General features: G+C 39.5%; 1 protein-coding gene across 4 annotated transcripts in view; it reads left to right on the top strand.

The window, feature by feature from the left end:
* The window catches only part of MED13 (mediator complex subunit 13), a 122,674-nt gene that overhangs the window by 34,205 nt on the left and 73,750 nt on the right, over window positions 1–14,719 (top strand). For all 4 annotated transcript variants that reach the window (XM_011525551.3, NM_005121.3, XM_011525553.4 and 1 more), the window contains 2 exons: window positions 1,061–1,223; window positions 1,423–1,533. In XM_011525551.3, the coding sequence (XP_011523853.1) occupies window positions 1,061–1,223; window positions 1,423–1,533 (274 nt within the window). The remainder of the gene's footprint in view (window positions 1–1,060; window positions 1,224–1,422; window positions 1,534–14,719) is intronic.

Raw genomic sequence — 14,719 nt, 5'->3', positions numbered from 1 at the left:
TTTAGATATTTTGCTTTCTGTATTTAAAAGTAGCGTGCTTTTATTTTTAAAGGTTTATGTGTTTATCTATAATTAAAATTACTCCAACAGAGCAGCCCATTGCTGTGTTCTAATTCTTAGCCCTTAAGTCCTACAAAAATAAACCCAAGCTTTTACAGTAACTGTCAATACAGAACTAAAGCGTTTTAGCTATTAAAAGGGGTTTAGTTACCAAGGTGCTTATTTTCAGCAAAACGCCCTGTTACTCAGAAGAACATACGCATATACTAAAGTTCTGACCCATCGATTCATGCAACAGTTTATATCTCTGCCCTCCCTCCATCTACCTTTAAAACAAAAACACAGAAGAACTTTTTACAATGGAGGAGAAACGTATAAAAACACAGAAGAGCTTTTTACAATGGAGGGGAAATATGCTCATGCTCAGCTGACCTTACAAAAAAGACTGTCTAATTTCCAACTAAATGAGAACACTAAAGTGTTTGGCTAAAATCCAGCAATGATTGACTGACCCAGGTCAGAGGCTGGCAGGGACAGAAGGGCCAGAGTGCTGCCGCTGCAGGGGCTCATCCTGGCCTCCAAACCCCACCTTGATGTGGAAGCCAGGCTCTGTGCAGCAGCTCCATGGCTGGTGTCCAGGGCCCCTTCGCACTACTCCGAAGTCCTTCCAGTCTCCCCACCTCTGGCCAGCCTCTGACCTTGATGATGTCACTCTGGGCATCAGGATAGTCTGGTTTGCTTATACAGCATGATCCATGGGACACCTCCTTCCTTGCCCTCAGCCCACCTCCCCCGACACGCCACCGTGTGCTGGCCCTGCCTGGCTCCTGAGAACCCCACTCTTGGTACTGAGAGTGGTAGGTTACAGAGATGTACTTGATTGCCACATTTGCCTAATGAGATCTGGTTCCAAAAAGTAGCATGCTTTTTATCTCAAAATATAAATAATTTTACCAGATAGCTGGAGCAGCTTGTATCACAAATTAATAAAAAACCCAAATAATGTTACTTTAAACCTACCTTTATTCTCCTACAGCCTGTTTTTTTGTTTTGTTTTCAGTTGATCCTCAGTCTGTCCAGAAGTGGGTCAAATTTTCTTCAGTATCTGATGGCTTCAACTCCGATAGTACTAGCCACCATGGTGGGAAAATACCCAGAAAATTAGCAAATCATGTGGTGGATAGAGTTTGGCAAGAATGCAATATGAACAGAGCACAGAACAAGTGTGTATTTTCATTTATAAGTTCAAAAATTGCATGTTGATAATTACTTATAATTAGAAGATATCTAAAGTATAAACAGTCATTTGTTTGATTTTTCTTTAACTCATAATGTTGATCTTTAAAATTAATTTCAATGCTACATTGAGGTTTGATAGAAAATTTTATGAATTTTAAAGAATTTTGTAACTTTAAATCTTAGGAGGAAGTATTCTGCTTCATCAGGTGGTCTATGCGAAGAAGCGACAGCTGCTAAAGTGGCATCCTGGGATTTTGTTGAAGCCACACAAAGAACAAATTGCAGTTGTTTGAGGTAGATTATTTCCCGATCGATTGATGCCTATGTGTGATAGTTTGTTACGCCACTGAATGCTTATGCCCACTTTATTTGAAACAGCTTACATGAACATATGTCAGGATTTTTTTTCAAAAGAAAATTCAGGAAAAATATTTCAGGAATTTGAAGCTGATTATAGAAGTACATGTAAATATAAGCTTTCAGTTCATTCACTGTTACCAGAGGCAGACTCTGAAAGTTTTGTTTCCTAGTAGCTAAATAAAAGACAATTTTATATGGAGCTATGGTATATATAGTATCTATAAGCTATACAGCCATATAAATCTCTTGAGAAAAGCATTCCTTCCTCAATGGCACTACCTGAGAAATTTATCCCAAGAGTTCTTTCTTTTTTTAAAAAATGAAGAGACAGGGTCTTGCTTTGTTACCCAGGCTGGAGTGATCATGGCTCACTGCAACCTCAAACTTCTGGCCTCAGTCGATCCTCCTGCCCCAGCCTCCCAAGTAGCTAGGGTTATAGGCATGTGCCACCACACCTGGCTAATTAAAAGAAAAAAAAATTCGTAGAGAGGGGATCTTGGTATGTTGTCCAGGCTTATTTCGAACTCCTAACCTCAAACAGTCCTCCCCTTGGCTTTCCAAAGTGCTATGATTACAGGTGTGAGCCACCATATCTGGCCTACAGTAATCTTTTTTTATTTTTTATTTTTTGAGATGGAGTCTTGCTCTGTCCCCTGGTCTGGAGTGCAGTGGCGTGATCTCGGCTCACTGCAAGCTCCACCTCCCGGGTTCACGCCATTCTCCTGCCTCAGCCTCCCAAGTAGCTGGGACTACAGGCGCCCGCCACCATGCCCAGCTAATTTTTTTTTTTTTTTTAAAGTAGAGACAGGGTTTCACTGTGTTAGCCAGGATGGTCTCAATCTCCTGACCTCATGATACAATCTTTTTTTAATAGTAAATACAGTGTTGGGTTTTGAAGAGTAATTTCATTTCTTTTTTTTTAAGCTTTTATTTTTGGTTCAGGGTTACATGTGCAGGTTTGTGAAATAGGTAAAGTCATGTCACAAGGGTTTGCTGTATAGATTATTTTGTCACTCAGATACTAAGCCTAGTACCCAGTAGTTACTTTTTCTGCTCCTGTTGCTCCTGCCAGCCTCCACCCTCAAGTAGACCCCAGTGTCTGTTGGACCCTTCTTTGTGTCCATGAGTTCTCATCATTTAGCTACCACTTATAGGTGAGAACAGGCAGTAATTGGCTTTCTGTTCCTGTGCTAAGGATAATGACCTCCAGCTCATCCATGTTCCTGCAGATGACATGATCTCATTCTTTTTTTATGGCTGCACAGTATTCCATGGTGTATATGTACCACATTTTCTTTATCCAGTCTGTCATTGATGGGCATTTAGGTTGATTCCATGTCTTTGCTATTGTGAATAGTGCTGCAGTGGACATTTGCGTATATGTGTCTTTATGGTAGAATGATTTATATTCCCTGGGTATATAACCAGTAATGGGGTTGCTGGGTCGGATGGTAGTTGTAGCTCTTTGAGGAATCACCACTGCTTTCCACAGTGGTTGAACTATTTTCACTTCCATCAACAGTGTATAAATGTTTCCTTCTCAACCTCGCCAGCATCTGTTATTTTTTGACTTTTTAATAATAGCCATTCTGACTGGTGTGAGATGTTATCTCATTATGGTTTTGATTTGCATTTCTCTAATGATCAGTGATGTTGAGCTTTTTTACATATGCATGTTGGCTGCACATATGTCTTCTTTTGAAAAGTTTTCATGTCCTTTGCCCACTTTTTAACAGGATTTTTTTTATATATAAATTTAAGTTTTTTTAGATACTGGATATTAGACATTTGTCAGCATAGTTTGCAAAACTTTTCTCCCATTATGTAGGTTATCTGTTTAGTCTGTTGATAATTTCTGTGGCTGTGCAAATGCTCTTTAGTTTAATTAGATCCCATCTGTCAGTTTTTGCTTTTGTTGTGATTGCTTTTGACATCTTCGTCATGAAATTTTTGCCCATTTCTGTGTCCAGAGTGGTATTGTCTAGGTTGTCTTCCAGGGTTTTTATAGTTTTGGGTTTTACATTTCAGTCTTTAATCCATCTTGAGTTGATGTTTATGTATTAAGGAAGGGGTCCGATTTCAGTCATCTGCATATGACTAGCCACTTATACCAGCACCATTTATTGAATAGGGAGTCCTTTCCCCATTGCTTGTTTTTGTGAGCTTTGTCAAAGATCAGATGGTTGTGGCAGTGCAGCCTTATTTCTGGGCTCTCTATTCTGTTTCATTGGTCTATGTGTCTGTTTTAGTACCAGTACCATGCTGTTTTGGTAACTGTAGTCCTATAGTATTGTTTAAGCCAGGTAACATGATGCCTCCAGCATTGTTCTTTTTGCTTAGGATTGCCTTGGCTATTTGGGCTCTTTTTGAATTTCATAGAAATTTAAAAATAGTTTTTCCTAGTTCTGTGAAGAATGTCATTGGTAGTTTGATAAGAATAGCATTGAATCCAAATTGCTTTGGGCAGTATGGCCATTTTAAGGATATTGATTCTTCCTATCCATGAGCATGGAATGTTTTTCTGTTTTTTTGCATCATCTCTGATTTCTTTGAGCAGTGTTTTGTAATTCTTATTGTAGAGATCTTTAACCTTTCTGGTAAGCTGTATTCCCAGTTATTTTACTCTTTTTGTGGCAGATGTGACTGGGATTGCATTTCTGATTTGGCTCTCATCTTGGCTGTTGTTGGTATATAGGGATGCTAGTGATTTTTGTACAGTGATTTTGTATCCTGAAATTTTACTGAAGTTGTTTATCAGCTGAAGGAGCTTTTGGGCTGAGACTGTGAGGTTTTCCAGGTCTAGAATCATGTTGTCTGCCAACAGGGTTACTTTTGTTTCCTTTCTTCCTATTTGAATGCCCTTTATTTTTTTCTCCCTGATTCTTCTGGCCAGGACTCCCCATACTATTTTGAATAGGAGTGAGAGGAGGCATTCTTATCTTGTGCCACTTTTCAAGGGGAGTGCTTCCAGCTACAGTCTTTTTTTTTTTTTTTTTAATGATAAATACAGTGATGGATTTTGTGGAGTAATTTCTTATAACATTCTTTGGGCAGCTGTAGGTGAAATGTTGAAATAAGATTCAGAAAATAGGATTCTGTAAGGGAAGAACTGTCACAAGGGAGCAAAACTCAAAGCATGACAAAACTGTCACGCTTTCTAATGGATTATATTGGTTGAATGATTGGTAGAAGAATAGATGAACGTGGAATTCTTTAGAAATTTATTTAGTTTATAAAGGCCTTTTGATAAGGTTTGGTTATGAGAAGTTTTAAAATTATGTTGCCTAGAGTTTATTATTTTATCCTGCAGATTAAACATAGATCATAGGCTTTTGCATTCAAGTAAACAGTAATGGCCTTGACATCCCTAGTCAGAACTTGTGATGGAATAGATGGTCACCTGTCTTTCTCATGGAAGTGAACCAAACAAATGGAGTGCCTGCAGGTTAGGGCCAAGGTTTTTCTTACATTTGCTCTGTTGGTTTGAATATATAATAACAGACTCTCTCAAGTGTGCTGTTATGTTTTTGCATAAATTGAATATTCTTATGGAGGCTCTTTGGATTAAAGAATACGTAATTTTTAAAAGTCTGGCAACTTTGTTGAAAATTTACCTCTGTTAGAGAGATTGGAATAAAAACAAGGATATATTTAGCTATTGTTTAGCAGTTTAAAATAGCTAAAAAAACCACACCTAATCTGAACATAATTTGTATAAGAATGGGGGTCAGCAAACAGTGATGAATTCGCCATATTTGGCCCACTGCCTGTTTTGTATGGCCTGTAAGCTGAAAATGATTTTTTTTAATTTGTTTGAGACGATATCTCGCAGACAGGAGTGCAATGGTGTGATCTCGGCTCACTGCAACCTCCGCCTCCCAGGTTCAAGCAGTTCTCCTGCCTCAGCCTTCAGAATAGCCAGGACTATAGGCACGCGCCACCATACCTGGCTAATTTTTTGTATTATTTAGTAGAGACGGGGTTTCACCATGTTGGTCAGTCTGTTCTCAAACTCCTGACCTCAGGTGATCCATCTGCCTTGGCCTCCCAAAGTGTTGGGATTATAGGTGTGAGCCACCATGCCCAGCCAACTGAAAATGATTTTTACGTTTTTTAAAAGTTGAAAAAAATAAAGAATGTTTTATGGTATGTGAAAGTTGTGTGAAATTCGGATTTCAGTATTGATAAATAAGGATTTATTAGAACACAGCCACATTCATTTATTTACATATTGTCTGTGGTCACTTTTACCCCACAATGGCAGAGTTGAATAGTTGTGACACAGTCTGGCCCCCAGGGGATAAAATATTTACTCTCTGGTTCACTACAGAAAAAGTTTGCTAATCCCTGGTCTAAGACTAAAAGAATGCTTAAATGTAAGTAAGCTTTTCCCAAACTACCATTTGACCGAGCAATCCTATTACTGGATATATATACCCAGAGGAATATAAAACATTCTGTCATAAAGACACATGCACGGGAATGTTCATAGCAGCACTATTCACAATAACAAAGACATGGAATCAACCTAAGTGCTCATCACTGACAGCCTGGATAAAGAAAATGTGCATGTACACCATGGAATACTGTGCAGCCATAAAAAAAAATGAGATCATGTCTTCTGCAGGAACATGAATGGAGCTGGAGGTCATTTTCCTTAGCAAACTAATGCAGGAACTGAAAATTAAATATTGCCTGTTCTCACTTATAAGTGGGAGCTAAATGATGAGAACTCATGGACACAAAGAAGGGAACAACAGACACTGGGTCCAGTGGAGGCTGGGAGGAGGGAGAGGAGCAGAAAAAATAACTATTGGATACTAGTCCTTTAATACCTGTGTGATGAAATAATCTGTAAACAAACCCCCATGACATGAGTTTACCTATATAACAAACCTGCGAATTTACCCCTGAACCTAAAATAAAAGTTGAGAAAAAAATAAATTAGGATTTTCTTTCCCACTAGTGGAATTTTTATCAAATAGTTCTGTTTTAGTTCCTAAACTAGACTTTTTTATTCTTTTTGAAAAGGTGGATTTTAAGTATTTTGTCTAAAATGGTTTTAGAGGAAGGCATTAAAATATGCATGTTGGCAACACAGGTTTAAATTCTTGGTCTTTAAGCTGAACTTTTATTTTTAAAAAGTTGTTTTCTCTTGTCCAGGCGCAGTGGCTTATGCCTGTAATCCCAGCACTTTGGGTTGCTGAGGCAGGTGGATCACGTGAGGTCAGGAGTTCAAGACCAGCCTGGCCAACATGGTGAAATACCATCTCTATTAAAAATACAAAAATTAGCCAGGCATGGTGGCACACGCCTGTAATCCCAGCTACTCAGGAGGCTGAGGCAGGAGAATCGCTTGAACCCGGAAGGCAGAGGTTGCAGTGAGCCAAGATGGCGTTACTGCACTTTGGTGTTGGTGGCAGAGCGAGACTCCGTCTCAAAAAAAAAAAAGTCATTTTTAAAAGTATTTTCAGAAATTTCTCAGAGGCATATAGAGATTTAATATGCTAAAATTTTACATAATCGATACGTGTGACTTGCTTTGGTTAGTTTGCTCCTTTAGTAAATACAGCATTTCTAATAATTTACTTAAAAAAATTAGTATTACATTTTGTACTTTAGGTCTTCTGCCCACCACAAATCTAGCTTATTTCTTAAGTGAAGGTAAGACAGATAGACAGTGAGCTACTACATGTGTATCCTCTTTGCCATAGAATATATAGGAGGTTGGGGGGCATACATTGATAACTGACTCTGTTAAATCGGCCTCTAGCTCGCTCTCAAATCCATTTCTGCTTTTTCTCTGTTCTGTTCTGTATTGCAGGGAATTAAATTTCCTAGACTCGTTTGCTTTCTGGAGTTGGCTAATAGGAGGCACTAACAGAAGATTGGAGGGTGAGAGGAGGGAAGAAGCCAGGGTCTTTCCCCAGTCCCTTTTTGAGCCAACTCCAGCAGCAGCTCCCTTGTGTCCTATTAACACAGCCCCTTCCTCATGGTCCCAGTTACTACTGAGCAGATCCTGCTATGGTTCTAGCACCATCCTGAGCTTCTGGGATATGGTGAGACTACATCATCTTATTGTCCTTTCAGTGCTAGAAGTCATAGAAGCTCCCTGCTATTACTAGTCTCTGGGTTTCCTCACTTTCCTCTGTTTTGTATAACCGGTTCTCTATAGTGAATTTCTTCTGTGTGAAAGATAGGTCTGGACCCTGCCTGATAACATTGGCTTCTCTTAAAAATTGATTTGGGAAGAAAAAAAATTCATAACTGTAACAGACAATTTACATGAATAGAAATTATTTTAAGAAATTTAAAGTATATGAATAAAGCCTAAGTTCCCCTTGACCATCCTTTCTCTCCCCCAAGCCTACTCACTCTCCCTAGAAGTGGCTAGTTGCCAATTAGATACTATTTCTCCATACTTAATTTTATGTATTCTCCTCTCAACACATAAATATTATTATTTTTTTAGAGACTAGCTGTGTCGCCCAGGCTGGAGTGCAGTGATGAAATCATGGCTCATTATAGCCTCAAACTCCTGGGCTGAAACGATCCTCCTGCCTCAGTCTCCCAACTAGCTAGAACTACAGGTGTGTGCCTCAATGCTCGGATAATTTTTAAATATTTTGTAGAGACGGGGTCATGCTATGTTGCCCAGGCTGGTCTTGAACTCCTGGGCTCAAGCGATCTTCCTGCCTCAGCCTCCCAAAGTGCTGAGATTACAGGCATGAGCCACCATGCCTGGCCTCACATAAGTATTATTCTGATTTATTTTTCACAGCTAATTTTTTTCACTTAATGTGCCTCAGATCTTTCCATATTAGTTACTTATATAGCTCTGCTTCATTGTTTAAAAATTTTCCTGTGGCTGGGTGTGGTGGCTCATTCCTGTAATCCCAGCAGTTTGGGAGGCCAAGGGAGAAGGATTGCTTGGGGCCAGGAGTTCAAGACTAGCCTGGACAATGTAGTGATAACTCTCTTTTTTAAAAGAAAAATGAAAAAAATGTTATTAATATTCCACTGAATGGAAGTATCATAGTTTATGTAATCATTCTGGATTTGATGGACATACAGTTTGTTTCCATAGGTGTTTTTTGCTTGTGCTTGCTTTAAAAAAAAAGTAATACTGCTGTAACTATCAATTATTTAGTAGGTTTTTTTGAATCCTTACTCTGTGACAGAAGGTGTCCTAGGCTCAGAATACACTAGCTAACAAAGCTCCTGCTATTATGAAGTCTGCATTCTCTTGGAAGTGAGGCAGATAATTTGTTTTTAAGAATATATATATATATATATATATTTTTTTTTTGAGACAGTCTTGCTCTGTTGCCCAGGCTGAAGTGCAGTGATGCCATCTCAGCTCACTGCAACCTCCGTCTCCTGGGTTGAGGGGATTCTTGTGCCTCAGCCTCCTGAGTAGCTGGTGCTACAGGTATATACCACCACATCCAGATTAATTGTTGTATTTTTAGTAGAGATGGGGTTTTACCATGTTGGTCAGGCTGGTCTCAAACTCCTGACCTCAAATGATCCACGTACCTTGGCCTCCCAAAGTGCAGGAATTACAGACGTGAGCCACTGTGCCCAGGCTTTAGAAGGATTTTAAATCCTTTTTAAATTTGAATGAGTGCTGGGAAGGAAATAAACTAGGTGGGTGATGTGATAAAGAGTTGTAGGCGAGAGGGCTATTTAAGTACGTGTGACATCAAAAAAGGTTCTACCGATTTTACTCACACTTTTTGCATATAGAAAATGTTGGTTTTTCTTGTGATTTCACTGATCTGAGAACTATCCTCAAAATTATTTTTTGCCATTATAATAAGTGAGAAGCATAAAATTGTTTGTCGCATTTTTCATTAGCGAGATTGAATAGCGCACATTTACTGATATTAGACTTTAGTGTGGTGGAATGTTCATAGGAAAACTGCACATAGAAAGCAGGCTGCTCGCCCCGTCCGGGAGGTGAGGGGCGCCTCTGCCCGGCCGCCCCTACTGGGAAGTGAGGAGCCCCTCTGCCCGGCCAGCCGCCCCGTCCGGGAGGGAGGTGGGGGGGTCAGCCCCCTGCCCGGCCAGCCGCCCCGTCCGGGAGGGAGGTGGGGAGGGGTCAGCCCCCCGCCCGGCCAGCCACCCTGTCCGGGAGGGAGGTGGGGGGGTCAGCCCCCCGCCCGGCCAGCCGCCCCGTCCGGGAGGTGAGGGGCGCCTCTGCCCGGCCGCCCCTACTGGGAAGTGAGGAGCCCCTCTGCCCGGCCACCACCCCGTCTGGGAGGTGTACCCAACAGCTCATTGAGAACGGGCCATGATGACAATGGCGGTTTTGTGGAATAGAAAGAGGGGAAAGGCGGGGAAAAGATTGAGAAATCGGATGGTTGCCGTGTCTGTGTAGAAAGAGGTAGACATGGGAGACTTTTCATTTTGTTCTGTACTAAGAAAAATTCTTCTGCCTTGTGATCCTGTTGATCTGTGACCTTACCCCCAACCCTGTGCCCTCTGAAACATGTGCTGTGTCCACTCAGGGTTAAATGGATTAAGGGCAGTGCAAGATGTGCTTTGTTAAACAGATGCTTGAAGGCAGCATGCTCATTAAGAGTCATCACCACTCCCTAATCTCAAGTACCCAGGGACACAAACACTGAGGAAGGCCGCAGGGTCCTCTGCCTAGGAAAACCAGAGACCTTTGTTCACTTGTTTATCTGCTGACCTTCCCTCCACTATTGTCCTATGACCCTGCCAAATACCCCTCTGCGAGAAACACCCAAGAATGATCAATTAAAAAAAAAAAAAAAAAAAAAGAAAGCAGGCCAGGTGCAGTGACTCACGCCTGAAATCCCAGCACTTTGGAAGGCCAAGGCGGGAGGATCACGAGGTCAAAAGATCGAGACCATCCTGGCCACCATGGTGAAACCCCATCTCTACTAAAAGTACAAAAAAAAATTAGCCGGGCGTGGTGATGCACACCTGTAGTCCCAGCTACTTGGGAGGCTGAGGCAGGAGACTCGCTTGAACCTGGGAGGCAGAGGTTGCAGTGAGCCGAGATCGTGCCACTGCACTCCAGCCTGGCAAAAGAGCGAGACTGTCTAAAAAAAGAAAAATAAAAAGCAAACTACAGTATAAAGTGGGTTACAGAAAGTCTCAATGATGTATTCATATGTAAAAAATTAAAGGAGCTGCACACTTAAATGTGCACTATTTATTGTAAGTTATACCTCAATAAAAGGTTTTCTTTAATCTTCATAAAAAAAAAAAGAAAGGCTGCTAAGTAAAAAGCAATACATTAAATTTCTCATGTTAACATTAAAGTACTGCATACCTAACATCAATAGGAAAAAATAATCTAAAAGGATTACTCTGTTGGTTTGTGCTTTGAGGACAATTTCTTTTTTTTACAAAGATTGCTCAATGTGGTTGTGTTCTAGCATGAAGTTCAGTTGTTTGGCCTTGCGCAGTGGTTCACACCTGTAATCCCAGCACTTTGGGAGGCCGAGGCGGGCGGATCACAGGGTCAGGAGATCGAGACCATCCTGGCTAACGCAGTGAAACCGTGTTTCTACTAAAAATACAAAAAAATTAGCCAGGCTTGGTGGTGGGCGCCTATAGTCCCAGCTACTCGGGAGGCTAAGGCAGGAGAATGGCGTGAACCTGGCAGGCAGAGCTTGCAGTAAGCCGAGATTGTGCCACTGCACTCCAGCCTGGGTGACAAGAGCGAGGCTCCGTCTCAAAAAAAAAAAAAAGAAAAAAAGAAATTCAATTGTACTCTCTAAAGAAACTAGCTTTTAGAAAGAGGTCTGTATAGAAGAAAAGGGCTGATTTAATGTTGTCAAAAATTTAGAGAACTGCTGCTATTAGTATGTAGCCCCAGTTAATAGTTTCTTACTCTTAATAGCTGGGTAAGTGAATGTATGGCCATTTACTTTTCACATCCCTTGTACACTTGGGACATAACTAAATAGTTCACCTCAGATGAATGGAGATCCTATTTCTCCTACTGCCTTGCATAAAATAGACTAATTCTCAAACTTTTTTGTCTCAGAACTTATTTACAGTCTTAAAAAATTACCGAAGACTGCAAAGTACGTTTATTACATCTATTTATATTTTAGAGAAATTTTAAAGCACCACTTATTAAAAACAATAATTTCAGTGCATATTAACATGAATAAAATAGACATCCACTATATTTTCCAAAACAGTAGCCAAAAAGCTAATTGAGTGGCATTGTTTTACAGTTGTGCAAGTCTCTTTAATATTGAGTGTAGTAAGATAGTTGAATTCTTATATCTGCTTCTGCATTCGGCCTATTGCTGGATATTGTCTTGGTTGAAGTATATGAAGAAAATCCAGCCTCATGTAGCTATGCAATTGGAGAAGGGAAGAGAGTATTTTAATAACTTTTTCAGATAATTGTGGATATTCTTCTTTGATACTACACCAAAAATTGACAAGTGGTAGTTTCTTAAGGGTTGGTTGGAATGTGGAATCTAAAGCCCTGTCAGTGGTTGTACTTCACTAATAACTGAATGGATCTTTCGATTTTGTAACATCATGCATTGGTCATTTGAAAAATATCAGTTCACTGGGTTATATAGATCTGAATGTTGGCACATTTTGTTATATATACTCATCTCTAAATATCCGTGTAGGATCGATATTCTAGAACCCTCACAGATAACAAAATCTACGGATGCTCAAGTCCTTCATATAAAATGAGTTAGTATTCATATAACCCGTATGCATCCTTCAGTATACTTTTTTTTTTTTTTTTGAGATAGGGTCTTTGCCTCTGTTGCCCAGGCAGGAGTGCAGTGGTGTCATCTTGGCTTACTGCAACCTGCCCCTCCCTGGCTCGAGCGATTTTCGTGCCTCAGCCTCCCAAGTAGCTGGGACTACAGGCATGCGCCACCACGCCCAGCTAACTTTTTGTGTGTGTGTATTTGTAATAGAGATTGGGTTTCACCATGTTGGCCAGCCTGGTCTTGAACTCCTGGCCTCAAGTAATCCACCCACCTCAGCCTCCCAAAGTGTTGGGGTTACAGGCATGAGCCACTGTACCTGGCCCTTCAGTGTAAACAATCTGTAGTTTGTTTATAATACCTAATACAATGTGTTACGTAAATAGTTGTTATACCGTATTGTTTTTACAATTTATATTATTTTTTATTCTTGTACTGTTAACTTTTCATTTTTGAAAAATAATATTTTTCATCTCTGGTTGGTTGAATTTGAGGATGTGGAATTCAGCCAATGCAGAGTATCAAAATATTTCATTCATTAATATTGCCAGTGATCTCACCTGAAAAGTATTTAAGTATTAGAAAGCTCAAGCACTGTGTCAGATAGTTTTCCAAAATTCTAAATATTGCAGTGGTACCAACTGTATTAGCAGTAGTAGTCATTGTTTAGCAGTCAAGCTCAAAATGATTAGTTCTTCCTTAAATGACAAACTCATTTTGTTCATGTTTGATAACCTAATAAACAAATCTGCCAAATGACCAAATATGGATAATCTTAGTTTATCTACCAGTCCTTTGTTCTTCAAATGGTGTTTCATGAAAAAAGCTAGTTTCAGCTTGTAACTCAGTCGTACAAGCGCTTTTCCTCAAAATAGCCATTGTACTTCAAATCTATAGCAGAAATGCTTTATATGCACTACCTATTTCTTTATACAGAGTGTAAAAAGATTGTATAAGGATTGAGATTAATAAAAATTATTTTTGCTGTCTTCATGAAGGACATTCTTAAGTGATACTATCATAAAAAACAACAAACTGAATGTGTGGTGGTGGAGAAAGCAGTGACTACTACTGCTAGTACAGTTGGTACCACTCCCTTTGATTCATGTTCAGTTGCTAGAAGTTTTGCTGCCTATTGTTTTTGCACCATCTTTGTAAATTTCAACATAATAAAAAAGTCAGATACTGTTTTGATGCTATTATGAAAATAGTTTTGAACCCCTGTAGCCCCTGAAAAGGAGGGTTCATAGACCATACTTTGAATTTAGTAGACAAATATTTGAATAATTGATGAGTTAATGATACTGTTATTTTTTCCTTTTTATATTCTTTTTTTCAGTTTCTTCTCTTGATTTAGAAGTTTGGTGTTCTATTTTTGTTCTTTTGTTAATTGAATTAATCATTTATTATGCCTGCTTTCCTTAAAGTCTAAAGTTAGAGTCTACGCTCTTTTTATGGAATGAACAAAGACCTTGGAATACTTTAATCTTGCTCCTCAAATCTTTCATGCTTTTTTTTTTTTTTTTTTAGCATTTTAGTTCTACTCTGTTTTGTTATTAGAAACTTCAAACATGGACAAAAGTAAGCGAATTGGGCAATGAATTCCTGTTTATCAACCATTCGTATTCACTTACTGTGTTTGCTTCAACTAGACCTTTTCTCTTGCTGAAGATCTTTAAAATTTGTTTAATTTACTTTATTTATTTATTTATTTATTATTATTATTATATATTTTTTGAGGTGGAGTCTCATTCTGTCACCCAGGCTGGAGTGCAGTGACGTGATCTTGGCTCACTTGCAACCTCCACCTCCTGGGTTCAAGTGATTCTCCTGCCTCAGCCTCCTGAGTAGTTGGGATTACAGGCGCCTGCCACCACACCCGGCTAATTTTTTGTAGTTTTAGTAGAGACGGGGTTTCACTGTGTTGGCTAGGCTGGTCTAGAACCCCCGACCTCAGGTGTTCCGTCCGCCTTGGCCTCCCAAAGTGCTGGGATTACAGGCATGAGCCACCATGCCCAGCCCAATATATTTTATTGAACTTGATTTATCTAAAATATTATTTTGACATACAGTAATTGTGATGAAACATTAGTGATATTTGGCATTTCTTTATTTTATAACATGTCTTGGAAAATTGGTATTTTACATCTATAGCACATCTCAATTTGGACTAGCCACTTGTCAAGTGTCTAATAGCTACATGTAACTTGTGGCTACCATTATTGGATAGTGCAGCTTTATAAATTAGGTAGAAATAGGACTGAAGGGCTGGAAGATACAGAAAAGATGAATTTCTATTCAATATTAAGAATTTACCTTCTAGCAGTTGGAGCTATTTGATGAGGGGGATGCATCTCCTTATACAGTAGTATGGTCCTTGTCATTGAAAGTAT

This window comes from Homo sapiens, chromosome 17, assembly GCF_000001405.40.
Source record: "Homo sapiens chromosome 17, GRCh38.p14 Primary Assembly".
NCBI lineage: Eukaryota > Metazoa > Chordata > Mammalia > Primates > Hominidae > Homo > Homo sapiens.
The sequence above is the reverse complement of the archived record's forward strand: the minus strand, read 5'-3'. Positions and strand labels throughout refer to the sequence as shown.